The sequence below is a fragment of the Homo sapiens genome, chromosome 6 (genome assembly GCF_000001405.40).
Source record: "Homo sapiens chromosome 6, GRCh38.p14 Primary Assembly".
In the NCBI taxonomy this organism is placed as follows: Eukaryota; Metazoa; Chordata; class Mammalia; order Primates; family Hominidae; genus Homo; species Homo sapiens.
In genome coordinates this window covers 20,060,001-20,076,148 of record NC_000006.12, presented here as the reverse complement: position 1 = coordinate 20,076,148, position 16,148 = coordinate 20,060,001, and the positions used below count along the sequence as shown (strand labels likewise).

Below are 16,148 nucleotides of genomic sequence, written 5' to 3'. Positions count from 1 at the left end.
ATAGCCTGATGACTATGTGCCTCGGCAATGATCTTTTTGCAGTGAATTTCCCAGGTGTTCTTTGAGCTTCTTGTATTTGGATGTCTAGATCTGTATCAAGGCCAGGGTAGTTTTCTTCGATTATTTCCTCAAATATGTTTTGCAAACTTTTGGATTTCTCTTCCTCAGGAACACCAGTTATTCTTAGGTTTGGATATTTAACACAGTCCCAAACTTCTTAAAGGCTATGTTCATTTTTTAAAAAATTATTTTTTCCTTGTCTTTAATAGATTGGGTTAATTCAAAGCCTTGTCTTCAAGCTCTGAAGTTTTTTCTTATGCTTGTTCAATTCTATTGCTGAGGCTTTCCAGTGCATTTTGCATTTCTCTAAGTGTGTCCTTGATTTCCAGAAATTGTGATTGTTTTTTATTTATGCAGTCTATTTCACTGAAGAATTTTCCCTTCATATCCTGTATCATGTTCTTGATTTCTTTAAATTGGACTTCAACTTTCTCTGGTGGCTCCTTGATTAGCTTAATAATTGACTTTCTTGACCTTATTCGTTTTCTGTCAATTCAGAGATTTTGTCTTGGTTTGATTCCATTGCTGGTGAGCTGGTATGATCTTTTGGGGGTGTTAAAGAACCTTGTTTTGTCATATTACCAGAACTGTTTTTCTGATTCTCATTTGGGTGGACTCTCTCAGAGGGAAGATCTAGCTACGACTCAAGGGCTGTTGTTCAGATTCTTTTGTCCCATGGGGTGCTCCTTGATGTGATGTTCTCCCTTCCCCCAGGAATGGGGCTCCCTGAGAGCCAAACTGTAGTGACTGTTTTTGCTCTTCTGGGTCTGGCCACCCAGTGGAGCTACTTGGCTCCGGGTTGGGGTACTGGGGAGTATCTGCAAAGAGTCCTGTGATGTGACCCGCCTTCAGGTCTTGCATCTATGGATACCAACACCTGCTTCAGTGGAGGTGGCAGGGGAGTGAAGTGGACTCTGTGTGGGTCCTTGATTGTGTTTTTGTTTAGTGCCCTGGTTTTGTGTTGGCCTCCAGCCAGGAGGTGGTGCTTTTTCAAGAGCGTGTCAGCTGCAGTCCTATAGAGAGGATGCAAACTTGCCCTAGGGACACCTGGTTAAGTATTCAGGTTTCCCAGGCAGTGAGCAGGGCCGTAGAGCTCCCAAGAGTTTATGACCTTTGTCTTTGGCTATCAGGGTGGGTAGAAAAAGGCCACCAGCTTGGGGCAGGGATAGGCATGTCTGAGCTCAGCCTCTCCTTGGGCAGGGCTTGCTGCAGCTGCTGTGGGGGATGGAGGTGTGCTTCCCAGTCCAATGGAGTTATATTCCCAGGGAATATTTGCCTCTGCTGAGTCATACAAGTTGCCAGGGAAGTAGGGAAAAGAGGGCAGTCACAGGTTTCACCCTGCTCTGATGCAGCCTGCCATCCTAAAGGCTGGTCTCACTCCCACCATGCCCCTACAACAGCACTGACTCTATTTCCAGGCATCCGATGACCAGGGCTGAGAACTTGCTCCAGACCATGAGTCTCCCCTTTGAGAAAGCAAGTAGACTCACAGTTTTTCAGCATCTCAGGGAGCCTGCAGTGGTGATCCAGTTCCTTCAAAGGGTCTGTGGATTCTCTCGGCTTTCCTGGTATGTATCTGTGGTAGTTCTTGGAGCAAAAGTTCATGATGTGAGTCTCCGCAGGCCGCTCTGCCTGAGTGGGAGCTGCAAGCTAATCTTGCCTCCTATTCACCATCTTAGTCTGCCATTTTCAGAAACTCTCAACCATGGTTTTCTCGTCTTTCCCACAATGTCTGGCATAGAGTTGCCCTCGATGAATGTTTGTTGACTGACTTGACAAAATATAGGTAACCACTTCCCTTTCTGAAAAAATTGAACATGCAGACCGCTTTTTAAATTATTTCCTGAGATTCTGGTTGAGTGAGTTCCTTGGGAGACCATGTGGCATTTCTGTTCTTGGGCTCCATGAACTTAATCTTAAAATTCATTCTTCCCCAAGAAGAATGAATCTTTAATACATCCCTTTGAGATCATTACTAGTATTATCCCATAATAAAAATGAAAAAAATGAGATATTAAAAAAAACGAAGTCACATGGTCAAGGGCATACAGCCAGAAATGGCAGCAGCAGTATCTGCTCAATCTTCCCCAAGAAGAATGAATCCTTTGTTTTATTTAAACGAATTTGACATTTTTGTGTTACCTGGAATCAAAAGAAATCACTTTTCTGGATTGTTTGGAATCTTTTACAATGATCATATGTCATTTTTATGAGAAAAAAATTTAAAATGATAAATCAGTTATTCTTGTGTAACTGGTGAAAAGCACCCTTCACATCTTCTCAGCTCTCAAGTCACAGTGCTGTCATGAACACTGGAGCAGATTAGAGTTAAAGTTATGAGCCTGGGATTCCGATGCTGCTGCTGCCATTTCTGGGTTGTATGCCCTTGACCATGTGACTTCATTTTGTTTAATGTCTCATTTTTTTCATTTTTATTATGGGATAATACTAGTAATTATCTCAAAGGGATGTATTAAAGATTAAATGAATAGTGCATACAAAGCACCTGGCATATGGCTAGTACTCAGCAAATGTCATTAGTAAATGCATTGAAGTTAAAATAATAGGGAGACTTAAGCACAGACAATTAAGCCCATCTCTAAAGATATTTAGTGATACCAATAGAAACTAATCTTTATTGAGCATTTAATATATGACTGCAACTATATTATAGTTATATGAGTTTTAATATGTAACTTATTATGTAAATAAGAGCTGAGGTTATCTCATTTAATTCTCACACTCTATAGGGTCAAATCAGAAACCTGATCGATGAATGGCTCTGAGTGACAATGCTAAATATCAGGGGGCCAGGCACGATGGCTCACACCTGTAATCCTGGCACTTTGTGAAGCCAAGGTAGGCGGATCACTTGAACACAGGAGTTCAAGACCAGCCTGGGCAACATGGTGACCCCCATCTTTACAAAAAAAATACAAAAATCATCTGGGAGTGGTGATGTGTTCCTGTAGTCCTAGCTACTTGGGAGGCTGAGGGAGGAGAATCACTTGAGCCTGGGAGATGGAGGTTGCAGTGAGCTGAAATCACACCATTGCACTCCAAGGAGTGAAAACCTGTCTCAAAAAAAAAAAAAAAAAAAATCTCATGGGAGACTCTTATTGGCCTGCTGGGATAGGGTAGGCAGAATTATGACCTCCCCCACAAAGATGTCCACACCCTAATCCCTAGAATGTATGAATATATTCCATGGCAAATGGGAATTAACGTGGCAGATGGAATTATGGTTGTTAATCAGTTGACCTTAAAATAGGGAGACTATCCTAGATTATCTGGATGGGCCCAATTAATCACAAATGATACAAAATGAGAGACTCCACCCACCATTGCTGGCTTTGAAGATGGAAGAGGGCCCTGAGCCAAGGAATGTGGGCAGCCTTTAGAGGCTGGAATGGGGAAGAAAAAGGCTTTTCCTCTAGTCTCCTGAAGGGATGCAGCCCTGCTCAAGAACATTTATCCCAATAAAACTAATTTTGGCTTCTGACCTCCAGAACTGTAAGGTAACAATTTTGTGTTGTTTTAAGCCACTAAGTCTGATGCTTTGTTACAGCAGCTGTAGGCAACCAATACGTGGGGTCAGCAATTTAAACCAGGGAAATACTGACGTTGCTCTCCCAGAACATTGCTGGAGCCTCATAACTAGTCCTGCTTCCAGCCTGGCATCGCGCCCTGCCTCTACTCTATTCTCAGCAACGCAGCTGGAGCAATGCCTTTGAAACATGGGTTGGGCCACAGTGGTCCTTCAGTGGATCCCTTCTCCCGCCTCTCCTGTACACCACTACATTCCCAGCCCCTAGAATGGAGCCTGAGCGTGGTGGTCCCTCAGTATGTGCTGTTAATGAAGGAACTGACTCTCTTAACGCCACAAAAGCTGGCGTCAGCAAAATGAAGAAAGTTACAAATCATCCTAATTTCCTATTCCTACCACAGTAGTTCTCCCTTATCCACAGGGAATATATTCCAAGACCCCCAGTGTATGACTGCAACCTCCAATAGTACCAAATTCTCTATATGCTATGTTTTTTTGAATCTGATAACCAAGAGGGCTTCTAAGTGTGTAACGAGCAGGGAGCATCTCCAACGTGGATAGGCTGGACAAAGGGAGGATTCACGTTTCACATGGGATGGTGCAGGATGGTGTGAGATTTCATCACGCTGCTCAGGACAGTGTGCAACTTAAAACTTATGATTTGTTTATTTCTGGAATTTTTCATTTAATATTTTCAGGCTATAGGTGATCTCAGGTAACTGAAACCGTAGAAAGTGAAACCGCAGATCAGCGGGGACTATGGTATTCAGAAATAGTTAACAATATCTTTGTGGTGAATATTCTTTCAGACATGATTCTAGGCATATATAAATACTAACAAGATAATATTTTAGCATTACTATTGTACCGTTTTGTTTTTTGTTTTACAGCTTGGACCTTTTTCCAGGTTGGCACTAGATATTCATCAGACTTGGGAAAACTTAGGATTTTTTAAAAGAAGGTACACAAAGAGAAAGAATAAGGCCATTTCCAGCTTCTGGCATACAAAATAGATTAGAAGGCAACATAGTAAACAGGGTAGGGTCTAGAGAGAGCATTTCCCAAGTAACTTGATCCTCTCTCTTCCATCTCTCAAGGGCCTAACCTAGAGGAATCTGCTTATCACAAGACTTGCCACTTGTAAGCAAAAGGAGGGTAGGATGTAGGGAAAGTAAGGGAAGACTTCTTTTTTTCCAGCTCTAGATGAGGGTGAGAAGGGAACTGAGGGAGAGAGAGGGAGTCCATCCTGGGGTTCCAGGCACAGGCCCTGTGACGGAGGAGGTGTGTTTCATAAGGGAGGGTAATGTGGAAGGCAGAGGAGGTGACTCTTAGGACTCTGGGAAGAAGTCCCCTCTCAACACATCCTAACCCCAGTTTGAACACAGCTGCACCATCTCGAAGGTGAGCACAGTCAGGCCAAGGGAAGCCTGAGGTTGTTTCTTGATTTCCTCAAGTTCTATGTGGGGTGGGTGATGGATGGAGGCCCAGAGGGCCTGCTTTGGGAGTTTCTCAAGGTGAAGCCCAATGACTTGGCTACAAAGCTGGGTGAGCACCTGGGCCTGCAGACTGGATGGGGAGCTTGAAAGAGATCTGGGGTCTGAGGCTTGAGAAGCCCATGCAAACCTGAATCAATCAGGAAGGAGTTCCCACTCTGGGCAAGCTGAGAAAGAGACCAATGGCCACAGAAGTTAGCTGAGGGACAAAGGACACTGCCTCAGGCACCAGAGACTACTCAAAAGACCATCAAAGACCTGGCTCTTCCCTCCGCCAAACACACAGTTCTCAGCTCACATGCCTGGCTAACATCTAGGGAAGAGAAGTGGGTAAAGAGAGTATATTAGTAAGGGTTCTCCAGACAAATAGAACCAGTAAAAGCACTATATAAAGAGAGTCATTATAAAGAATTGGCTTACATGGTTATGGAGGCTAAGAAGTCTTAAGATGTGTAGTTGGCAAGCTGGAGACCCAGGAGAGCTGATAGTTGAGTTTCAGTCTGAAGCTAAAAGCCTGAGAAGCTGATGGTGGAAATTCGAGGCCAAGTGTGACTCTGAAGGCATGAGAAGACCAATGTCCAGCTCCAAGACAGACAGAAAGACAGTGAATTCTCCCTTACTCAGCCTTTTTGTTCCATTCAAGCCTTCCACAGATTGGATGAAGCTCACCCAAATTGGGGAGGGCAATTTGCTTTGCTCAATCTCCCAATGTAAATGCGAATCTCATCCAGAAACACCCTCACAGACTCGCCCATCATAATGATTAATGAAACATCTGGGCACCCTGTAGCCCAGTCAAGTTGACACAAAATTAACCAGCATAAGAAGCCATGTAGAAACTGGGAAGTTTTCCTAAAAGAGACAGAGTATTAGTGAAAGGACCATTTACATGCTCAGATTGGGTTGAGCTTAATCAAAATTAGAAATTTCGTTTTCTGTGTGTTTGCTTTTTGCTTTCTACTAACTGCTGAATGGGAGATTATGAGAGGGAATGGAGAGACATCAAGAAAAAAACCTTACATTTTCTCTGCTTATTCAGCCATGGATAAATATATGGAAACACATTATATCTGTTCTGTAATCTGCTTTTTTGACCATGCAAATATACATCATAGACAGCTTTCTGGATTAATAAATATCGATCTCCATGAAAATTATCTTAAATATGTCCTTGGTATTCCATTGTCTATAAATGTCAAAATGTAGACACTCAGACCCCTATTGATAGACATTTGTTATTTTTAATTAAATAGACACAATTCACTCCAGAAAGCTTTCAGAGACTTTCAGTTATAACTACAGCTTGGTTTTCTTTGTTTCATATATGGAGAAAAATAAATTGTATTTATTCTTTGAATATGGGAGTGTGGGGGAATAAAAAGAACAGAGAATACGAATTTGACAGGGAGCTTGTAAATGGCTGTGGGATGTTCAGAGATGCGGTCCATGCACGCCCTGTACATGCCTGGCTACTTGTCCTTGCCCAACCATGACCACACCGGCAAGATAACGGAGCAGGGTGGTGATTATTCATGCCTCTCAGAAAACTGTATTCACCTGCTCTGCACAGGGTCTCCACTGGGTGCTTGCCATTGCAGACTTCCATATGCTCTCCAGGGGCCAACAGACAGGAAGAGGATAAAGCTGGGCGGATGGCATGCTTCCGCCTTCCTGCCGAGATAATGAACTGAGGGAGGCAGAGAAACTGGGGCCACCTGAAGTACGACCAGCAGCCCTATCTAAACCGTCCAGAGCGCAGGCTGCCATGGGCGAGCTGTTTATCGAGAGCCACATGTTCCCGATTGCAGGCTACTGCATGGCTACAATTAGACTTTTTGACTGATGGCCAGTTTAATGAGCCTATTTACAGAGGGTCATTCAACATAGCAATTACACCTATAAATCTATTTGCAGTAGGACTCGAATAACCTTCTGCACACAGCCTTGTATAAAACTGCTGTCTGATTAATTAACATTAATTTCCCCGCCGTATGGAACCAGCTGCAGTTGGTGTAAATGCTTCCAGCTCCTCTCGGCAGGCCCCCTGCGAATGGCAGGGGTTCTCATGGTGGGGGGAATGTTTCAGGGGCTGGGAGGGAGGGAAGGGCCGGTAGTTGTGTTGTTGCTGTTCCAAAGAAACGCTTAGTTTTTCTTCCATCCCTCTGTTCTTTCTCTGGCCCTGTTTGATTGATGTTTCAGGGCAGTGTCATATATAGGGGGCAAAATTCAATTAATTAGATATGAAATATTTATAACCCTGCTGTATGTGTCTATCAGAAAAGAGCCCTTAATAGATCTTCTCATTAGCATGAGCTGGTGACTCATTTCTCCGCTTTCACAGTCATTCGGAATTAAAATCCAATTAATCTAATATCCCTGTGAATGTTATTAAATTATTGGAAAAACTGCATTCGGGAGATAGGGTGAGGGGAAGGAGCCGGCCTGGTGGGTTCTCATTTCCTCTCTGCAAAGCACACAATGCCAGGGGGACCGGCCCCTCTTCCTTTGGGCGCTCAGCTTCCCGCTTTTGGGTTGTGTCTACACTTGGCAAATAAAGCACCGGATTGTGAATCAGGGACTCTCAGCTGCCAATGCTAACACTGCCAAAGCTAATAACACAACAACAACAACAACAACAGAAGCAGCAGCAGCATCAACAAAACCCAGAACACCGGTTTCTGAAACCAGCAAAGTATTTGCAAAATGCAAGATTGTAATTAAGTGAAAAGCAAAATGCAAGATTGTAATTAAGTGAAAAGGTAAGATTTGCACTGTTTTAAGCAGCTCTAAAAGAAATGAGTCTCTTTAAGGTGGAAGCAGCTTTAAGAAGGAAGACTGAATTGGAAGCTCCCAGGCTCCATGCAGTTCTAGAATGCTGTGATTTTATGAATTCTAAGTCTGAGGACCCTGTGAAAAAGTCAGGAAGAACAGTCTATGATTTTACAGAAGTGATGAGTTGAACAAAAAGCTAAAGGCTCCTTGTATTTGGAAAAACAGGGACCATTGCTATCATTATTAACAAATGTTTGCATCACAGGGCATTTCCTTTGTCCAGTGGTACATGGAGACACTTGAAATTTTTTGCATTTTTTTTTGGAAAGGAAGAGAGAAAAAATTATAGCAATTATGGTAAGCAGTGTCCTGAAGTTCTGCCGATCAACTGATATTATGACGTTGTGGCCCATAATTTGGAGGTTGCCAACTCGAGACTTTAGTTATGACCATGACGTAAGGATTCTAGAAACTCCTGAGAGGGCTCTTAAATCCCTCTCTCCTTGCAGAATCCAACACTGAAGTTGGACCAACATTGATTGAGTTCCTACTGTATGTCCGGGACTGTGCCAGGAGCAAGGGGTCACAGCGCTATGGATTACATAAACATTTATAAACGGAAATGCTCCCCAAAGAATATGATGATGAAAAAGACTTGGCTCCTGGCTTTGAGAGGCTTCTAAGTGTGTAAACTGATAATTTAAAATATGATGGGCTGTCTCACTGCAAAGCAATGATAAAAGCATGAGGTGCTGGATATGCTAACTACCCTGATTTAATCATTATACAACGCATGTATGTATTGAAACATCAAACTTTACCCATAAAATGTATAATTACAATGTGTCAATTTAAAACAATTTAAGAAATAGAACGGTTTGAAATGCTTTGCTACTGGAGCATAGCAGGGTGATGGAGGGGCGTCAGGGAGATCTTCCTGGGACACCTACACTGACTCTGGGGTGTAACGGGGCTGTGTTCCTGGGCGGGCTTAGACTGTTTCTCTAATTATGACAGCTTTCTCCTTCTTGCTGTAGTTTTGTCTTTTCAAGAATGTCATATGAATATTTGATATGATTTGGATGTTGTCCCCTAAAAACCTCATGTTGAAGTGCAATCCGCAGTGTTAAAAGTGGAGACTGGTGGGCAGTGTTTGGGTCACAGGGGCGGATCCCTCATGGCTTGGTGATGTTTTTTCGATAGTGAGTTCTCCCGAGATCTGGTTGAAGAAAAATGTGTGGCACCTCCCTTCTCCCTCTCTCTCTTCCTTCCACTCTTGCCATGTAAGACACCAGCCCCCCTTTCATCTTCTGCCATGATTGTAAGCTTCCTGAGGCCTCCCCAGAAGCTGAGCAGGTGCTGCCACCATGCTTCCAATAGCATTGCAGAACCATGAACCAATAAAACCTCTTTTCTTTATAAATTACCCAGTCTCAGGTATTTCTTCATGGCAACGTGAGAACGGCCTAACACAATATTATACTGTACGTAACCTGAGACTGACTTCCTTTACTCAGAATGATGCCTTTGAGACTCATCCAAGCTGCTGTGCATGTCAACGGTTTGTTTCTTTTGCTTAGTGAAGAGAATTCCATGGCATGGATGTTTTTCTGTATATCCATTCACCTGTTAGACATTCAGGCTGTTTCCCATTTGGGCAGCTGTGAATAGAGCTGTTCCAAATATTTATGGACATGCTTTTGTATGAGCATGTTTTCATTACTGTTGGGCAAATACCCAGAGGTGGGATTGCTGAGTTGTGTGGCAAACGTGTGTGTACCATTATAAGAAACTGCCAATCTCTTCCAAAGTGGATATACTTTTTCCATTTCCTCCAACAGTGTATGAGCGTTCTGGTTGCCTCCCATCCTCACTAGCATTTGATGTTGTCAATATTTTGCATTTTAGCCACTTTACTAGGTTGAGCTATTTCATTGCGGGTTTTATTTGAAATTCTCTAGCAGTCCATAATGTGCTTATTTGCCATCCTTATATGCTCCTTATATGCTCTTTGGTGAAGGGTCTGTTTATGTTATGTGTATATATTATATATAAAATTATAATTATATGTTATATAATATATATACACATTGAATAATGTGAATTACTACTTATTTGAAAATTAAAATTAAAAAGTGGCTGCCCTGTTCCCAAGGTTTCAAGGCCTATTTCCCTGTTCAGGGAGGCACTCTCGGCATGGCAAATCACTTTGTGATGATTCCTCTTTCCCCATTTTGAAAAAGGGAGTGATAATCTTTATTCCACTGACCCAGAGATTGCCCTCATGGGTAGGTCAGTGATAAGGAGATTTCAAGACCTTCCATGGTCCAGAGTGGTTAGCTGAAGAGCTAATACTAGAACTGAAATCTTGGGTTCTCAAGTTCTCAAACATTGTCAGGGTAAGAGACCCAGTGAACTTATCTGCTGCTGGTTGTGGTGCCAAAACTCTTAGCAGACAAGTGAAACTTTTGTCTCAAAACATGGAACCATTATTTTGCATATGCATTTCTGAGTGTTAAATTCACAGTTGGCAGAGGCTTAAGTAAACAAACAAGCCTAATATTTTATACTGGGATTACTTTTGGACCAGCTGGAGGATCCTCTCTGGAGCCATTTTTCTTTTATTTTATTGGTGGGAGCCTGGAGTCCTGTTTACTGTGAGTCCACTTGGCAGGAAATCTGTCAGTATCACTTAAGTGATGGAAAATGAACTCACAACCTCCCAATGGCTCAACATCAACTTAATTTACATCAGGAAACATTTTGGACTCTGACTATATGCCCAGCCTGCATTAGGAATATCAAGGTAAGTCTCTGGTCTCAAGAACTCATCTGCAGTCAAATGCCATTTTTTATAAGGCACATTGTAGTGATAACCTAGGAGGTGGAGAGGGGATGCGAATCCTCATTTTATAGAAAAGAAAACAGATCCAGAGAGGTTAAGTAATAACAAGTAGGAAATCTGGGATTTAAACTTAGGTCTGTCTGACTCCATTGTCCATGGTCTTTCCAATACACCAGTGATTTATTTTGCCATCAAATTTTAAAATGCATATTCATATACAATTTTATTTGCCATTTTTTTGGAGGAAATTCAGGCATTAAACTTTAGGTTGCTAAAATACAGGCTATCTAAACAAGTATAAAAGTATAAAATCTCCACCCCCCTCGGAATACATTTTAGTGAATTAAATCTTAATATCTTTAATATTTTTAAACCACAAGCCTATCACATCAAGGCCTTAAATCAAACTAATACAAAGTGGTTAAGCAGCTTCCCACAGAGAATTCATCCCAATAGCCAAGAAACAGTACCATCTGCCTAGTGGACTCCACTAGTCAGAGAAAGCGTCTGCCTATTGCTAAATCTGTTTTATAGAAAGTATTTTTATAAACTGTTTAAGCCAAAAATTTAATAACCTACGATAGACCTTGCAGCAAAGAGGCAGCGAGTCCTAGTTGCCCAGGAACTTGGTTAAACAAAGTCATTGGCAAAAGATGGCGCATAGGCAAGAAGTCTCAGGAAGCATTTAAAAGTAGACAATGTCAGAAGGCTGTGCCCTCCACATGAGCAGCCCCAAGGTCAGTTTGCCTACCTCCCCGCTGAAACGGCCAGAATTCAAGAGGCAAAGCATTTGCTCATTCTAGCCACGTCCATGAGACTGACATTTTTCACTACCATCTGAGTTCGATCTCTTTTTAAAGCATGCTAATGGTTTTTAAAGGAATCCTAGTAGCTCCAATGTCACATCAGGTTAACAGAGTCTGCAGGTTTTGTGATCCATCTCAAACATCCTTCCAAGTAACAGAACTGCATAGTTATACAAATAAAATAAAAGAGTAGGTGGCAACGAGGGAGACATTGTGATGTGCTGTAAACATGCTGAATTTTCAGTGGAATGCAGATTTTACAGTCAAGAAATCTGATAAAACCCGCTCTTCCTGCCTCAACAATGATGTCCAGGTATGACAACATACTTGACAGATGTCAGCTTCCACTGTTAGCCAGTCTATGAAATAAGGCAACATTTCTATCTTTCCTTAAATTCTTTAACAGAATCTTGCCAAACTGTATCCATAATTTTAGGCATTTCTACATGTAAAAAAATTAGAAGTCCATCTACACTTGAAAAAAAACAGGGATGCAAAGTTCCCTCATTTTGTCATCGATTTTGAGTGACAATGTAAAACTTGAGTTTGTGAGTGATGGCGTGTATCTCAGAGAAAGATTATAGCCAATTGTCCATGTATAGTGATGAAAAGTGAATAATTTTTTTAACTGAAATGTTTATTAAATCAATAACCAATATAAACCATCATTCCTAAGGATCCCGTTTTGCTTAGTGATTCATATTTTGTGTTGGCAGTAGTAGTCGCTTGAGTAGTTAATGCAGCTCTTTTGGCTTAACTATGTTTCACCATGTTTGTGCTATTTTATGGAGTGCATAAGATCACAAGGAGCTCTTTTATGTAGGAAAACACCTAAGAGGAACCCGTTTATTTGGTGGAAAGAATACAGCAATTTGGTGTGTGTATACTTCACTTCAGACTGTGGAGACTGAGGGCTTCCCCAGTACCCTGGAGAAGGCAACAAGGCATGCCCTGAGATTAATATCTCCATCACAAATAAAAATAAGTGTCATATGTACATGTAGAAAAACAGGGTCCTATTTAGTGGGAGTAGGTAAAGCCATTATCTTTAAATCTAAACATACAATGGGTTGGGAACTTGGTCTTTTGGATAAATGCCTATTGAAGTTGAGGACTGATTCAAGTCAATATGATAAACTTGGCTCTGTTCCAAGCCCATAACTAGAGAAAAATTTAATAAACTCTTCTTGGATGTATTTCCATTATTTCTTTACCATTTGTATAACTAGTGTCCTCTCTATCCTTCCTCCTTTGTGGACACTGTAATTCATAATCCCACTCCAAACTCCATCAAAGACTTTGGTGTCCAATGGTGAGTGGGCCTTTTCAATGAGGAGACCAGATGGGTCTTCACTTGGCCCCACCCTATTGTGCCAGTGTCCTTTCCACCGAGAATGAAACCAGACCAATTTTACAATAAGCCAGATGCCCATAGAACTTAACCTTGAGAAACTTATATTTAAACAATGAGACACACCTGCTGCCTGTTGCCCAACTCCTCTTCCTTGCCCCTCTTGCTTTCCTCCCCAACTACATAAACTCCTAACTTCAGTCGGGGAAAGAGACGGATTTGAGGCTTGTCTCTGGTCTCTCCAGCTGATGTTACCTGTAATAAAGCCTTCTTCCCTGGCAATACTCATTGCCTCAGTGATTGGCTTTCTGTGCAGCAAGCAACATGACCTAGGCTAAACCCCTGGCATTCAGTAACAAGAACAGAGCATTCCCCTCTCGGTAGATAGGGAATTTAATGGTGATCTGTCACCCTGATGCCCAGAGACCAGGATATCTTCATGCAGAGAGGCATTGTTTGGGAGAGTTTCTCAAACATCTGTGGCTAATACTCTTTAAGAGCCTCCTGTTCCCCAAGAGTCAAGAAAGAAAAAAACAACAACAAAAAGAAAAAGCTGATATGTCCTTAAGCATCACTTTTACAACAAATACTAAGTCTTCAATACAGGAAAACACTGTTTAGGAGAAAAGGTGTTAGGATGGCAAGAAACAGATACTTAATGTTATTGTACTTAATCGATAATTGAGGGACATTGTGCCCAATGCGATAGAGAAGGCAAGCAAACAACATTTGTGTGACACACAGGAGGTCAGCATGGTGGGCTAGCTCCAGTCACCCCACTGAGGGGTGTCCCTGGGGTACCTTACATGAGGACAGGTTTTCACATCCACTGGGACTTCTTCCTGGTTCTTCTTGCTGAAGCCAGAATGTCAGGGCTGCCTTTCTCCCAACTTTGAGAATCCTTGAGCAGGTACATTTTCCTCTTTTGCCAACTCAACCCCTTCTAACCTTCTTTGGAATAGCTTGGCCTTTCTGGGTGTCTGTCCTGCTCTGCAGCTCACACACACAAAAACTGGCTTGAAAATCATCTGGCCTGCCTCAGCTCGTTTTGCTATGCTCTTCTGGTTAATATATCTCTCTGCTGAGGAGGTGGCTTCCTTCCTGCTCTCAACCACAGTCAGGACTTCTACCTACAACTGAGGCATAGTGTGAGTTTAACTCTCTAGTTTCACAACGCTCTGCAGAATTAGCTTGTCATTTAAAAATGCCTCTTGTGGCCGGGTGTGGTGGCATGCACCTGTAGTCCCAGCTATTTGGGAGGTTGAGGTGAGAGGATCGCTTGAGGCTGGGAGTTTGAGACCGGCCTGGGCAACATAGTGAGACCCTATCCATACAAAAAATAAAAAATAAATCACCCAGGTGTGGTGGCATGTGCCTGCAGTCCCAGCTACTCAGGAGGCTGAGGTGGGAGGACCACTTGAGCTAAGGAGTTCAAGGTTGCAGTGAGCTATAACTATATCACTGTACTCCAGCCTGGGTAGGAGCAAGACACTGTCTTAAAAAAAAAAAAGCCTCTGGCGATCTGCTTTTCATACTATTTACAGGCCTTAATTGACACTATTATGGAGCTTTATATTTTAAAATTACTTTTATGGTTCATTTGATACAAAGATTAATAAAAAAGACTTTACCCTTATAAATACAACAAACTAATCTGTAATGTGTAAAAAGGAGGATCATATTAAATGTGTTTCTTCACAACCTGCTCTTTAACATAGGAATATATATATGTTTTGCCCATGTTATTAGGTGTATTAGCTATCTGTTGCTGCATAACAAATTAGCCCAAAGCTTAGCAGCTTTTATATAACCAACATTTAGTATCGCCCACAGTTTCTGAAGCTCAGAAACACTTGAGCTGGGTAGTTCTGGCTCATGGTTTCTCACGAGGCTGCAGTCATCTGAAAATTGACTGGGGCTGAAGTGTTTGCTTCAAGCTCACTCACAAGGTCTCTGTTTGTTGCCAGGTGGATTTCATCAAAGGGCTGCTTCAAGACATGGCAGCTGGTTTCCCCCAGAGTGAGTGATTGGAGAGAGCAAAACTGCAATGTCCTTTATAACCTAATCTCAGAAGTGGCATACCATCACTTCTGGCATGTTCTATTGGTCACAGTGCTCTATGGGTCACTAATATTAGTACAGTATTGGGAGGAGGGCTACACAAGGAGTGGGGATTGTTGGTCGCCGTGTTGAAGTCCAGCTACCACTCTGAGTGTGTGTGTGTGTGTGTGTGTGTGTGTGTGTGCATGTGTGTGTGTGCGTGTATATTTCATCTGTAATTACTTTGGCCCAAAGATCTCCCCTCACCCTTACCCCTGTTTAGTACACACAGCATATAGGGCTGGACCAGCTTTTGCCATTCCAGCCTCTGCTCTTCTTTTCCTCCTTCACACTTCAACCTGCACTTGAGTTTTGCAGAATGACCTGTACTCTCACCCTTAGGCTTCTGCATTTTCTGCACATACCTCCTTCATCTACCTTCAGTCTAGGCATCAGCTCCTCTTAGAAACCTCTCTTGAACCCCCAGTCTAAATTAGCTACCCCTCCTAAGTGTTCTCATGGCACCCTGTTCTTCTTCTGCCAAACACTTTTATGTGGAATTTTAGAATCATGTGTCGATATGCCTGTCTCTGCTTCTTGAGCATGGGGTCTGGTGATTTATTAATGGACTTAGGATCATGCTAGTCCATACTACATGGTCAACAACTTTTGCTGGGAGAATAAGTAAATGAATGAACACATTATGAAAGTGCCTCAGGGCTTTGTGATCCATGAGAGATTGGCTGATAAGACTTTTGTTTCGCCATCACTGCCACCCCCACCACCACTAACATCATCATCATCATCATCATCACCATCACTATAGTTTTGTTGTTATCTCCCCAGTGAGCTCCAACCTATCCAGAGCTCTGCTGTGTGAGCTTTTCCAGATCCACAGTGTGCCAGCCAGCATTGCAATCAAGTTTTGTTTTCATTATGCAGGCTTCCTGTGAAGTTTTAAATTAATTTTAATCCTCTCCTCACTTTTAAGGCCTCTAAAAAGAGCTGTATTCCCACCTTCCTTGGTAAACTGGGGCCTATCCCATTTCCCTAGGACGGCTTTCATTCTGGCGAGGGCTGCGTGCTCCCACACCCCTGCACCACTCCGTGCCAGGGCAGTGGGCTTCCAGACTTCCAAGCTGTGGGCGGCCCTCCACCTGGGCTCTGGGGAAGCATGCCCAGTCCATGAGAGCCACGCCAACACCCACCTGGGTCTGATGGATCCTCAGCTTTT

General features: G+C 42.5%; 1 long non-coding RNA gene across 1 annotated transcript; it reads left to right on the top strand.

Moving 5' to 3' along the window:
* The first annotated feature begins 777 nt into the window (after positions 1 to 777).
* LOC105374965 (uncharacterized) lies at positions 778 to 9,298 on the top strand. Its single transcript, XR_926566.3, has 3 exons — positions 778 to 1,628; positions 2,811 to 2,919; positions 4,498 to 9,298. It is a non-coding gene; the product is annotated as an uncharacterized LOC105374965 (long non-coding RNA).
* The last annotated feature ends 6,850 nt before the right edge of the window (positions 9,299 to 16,148 follow it).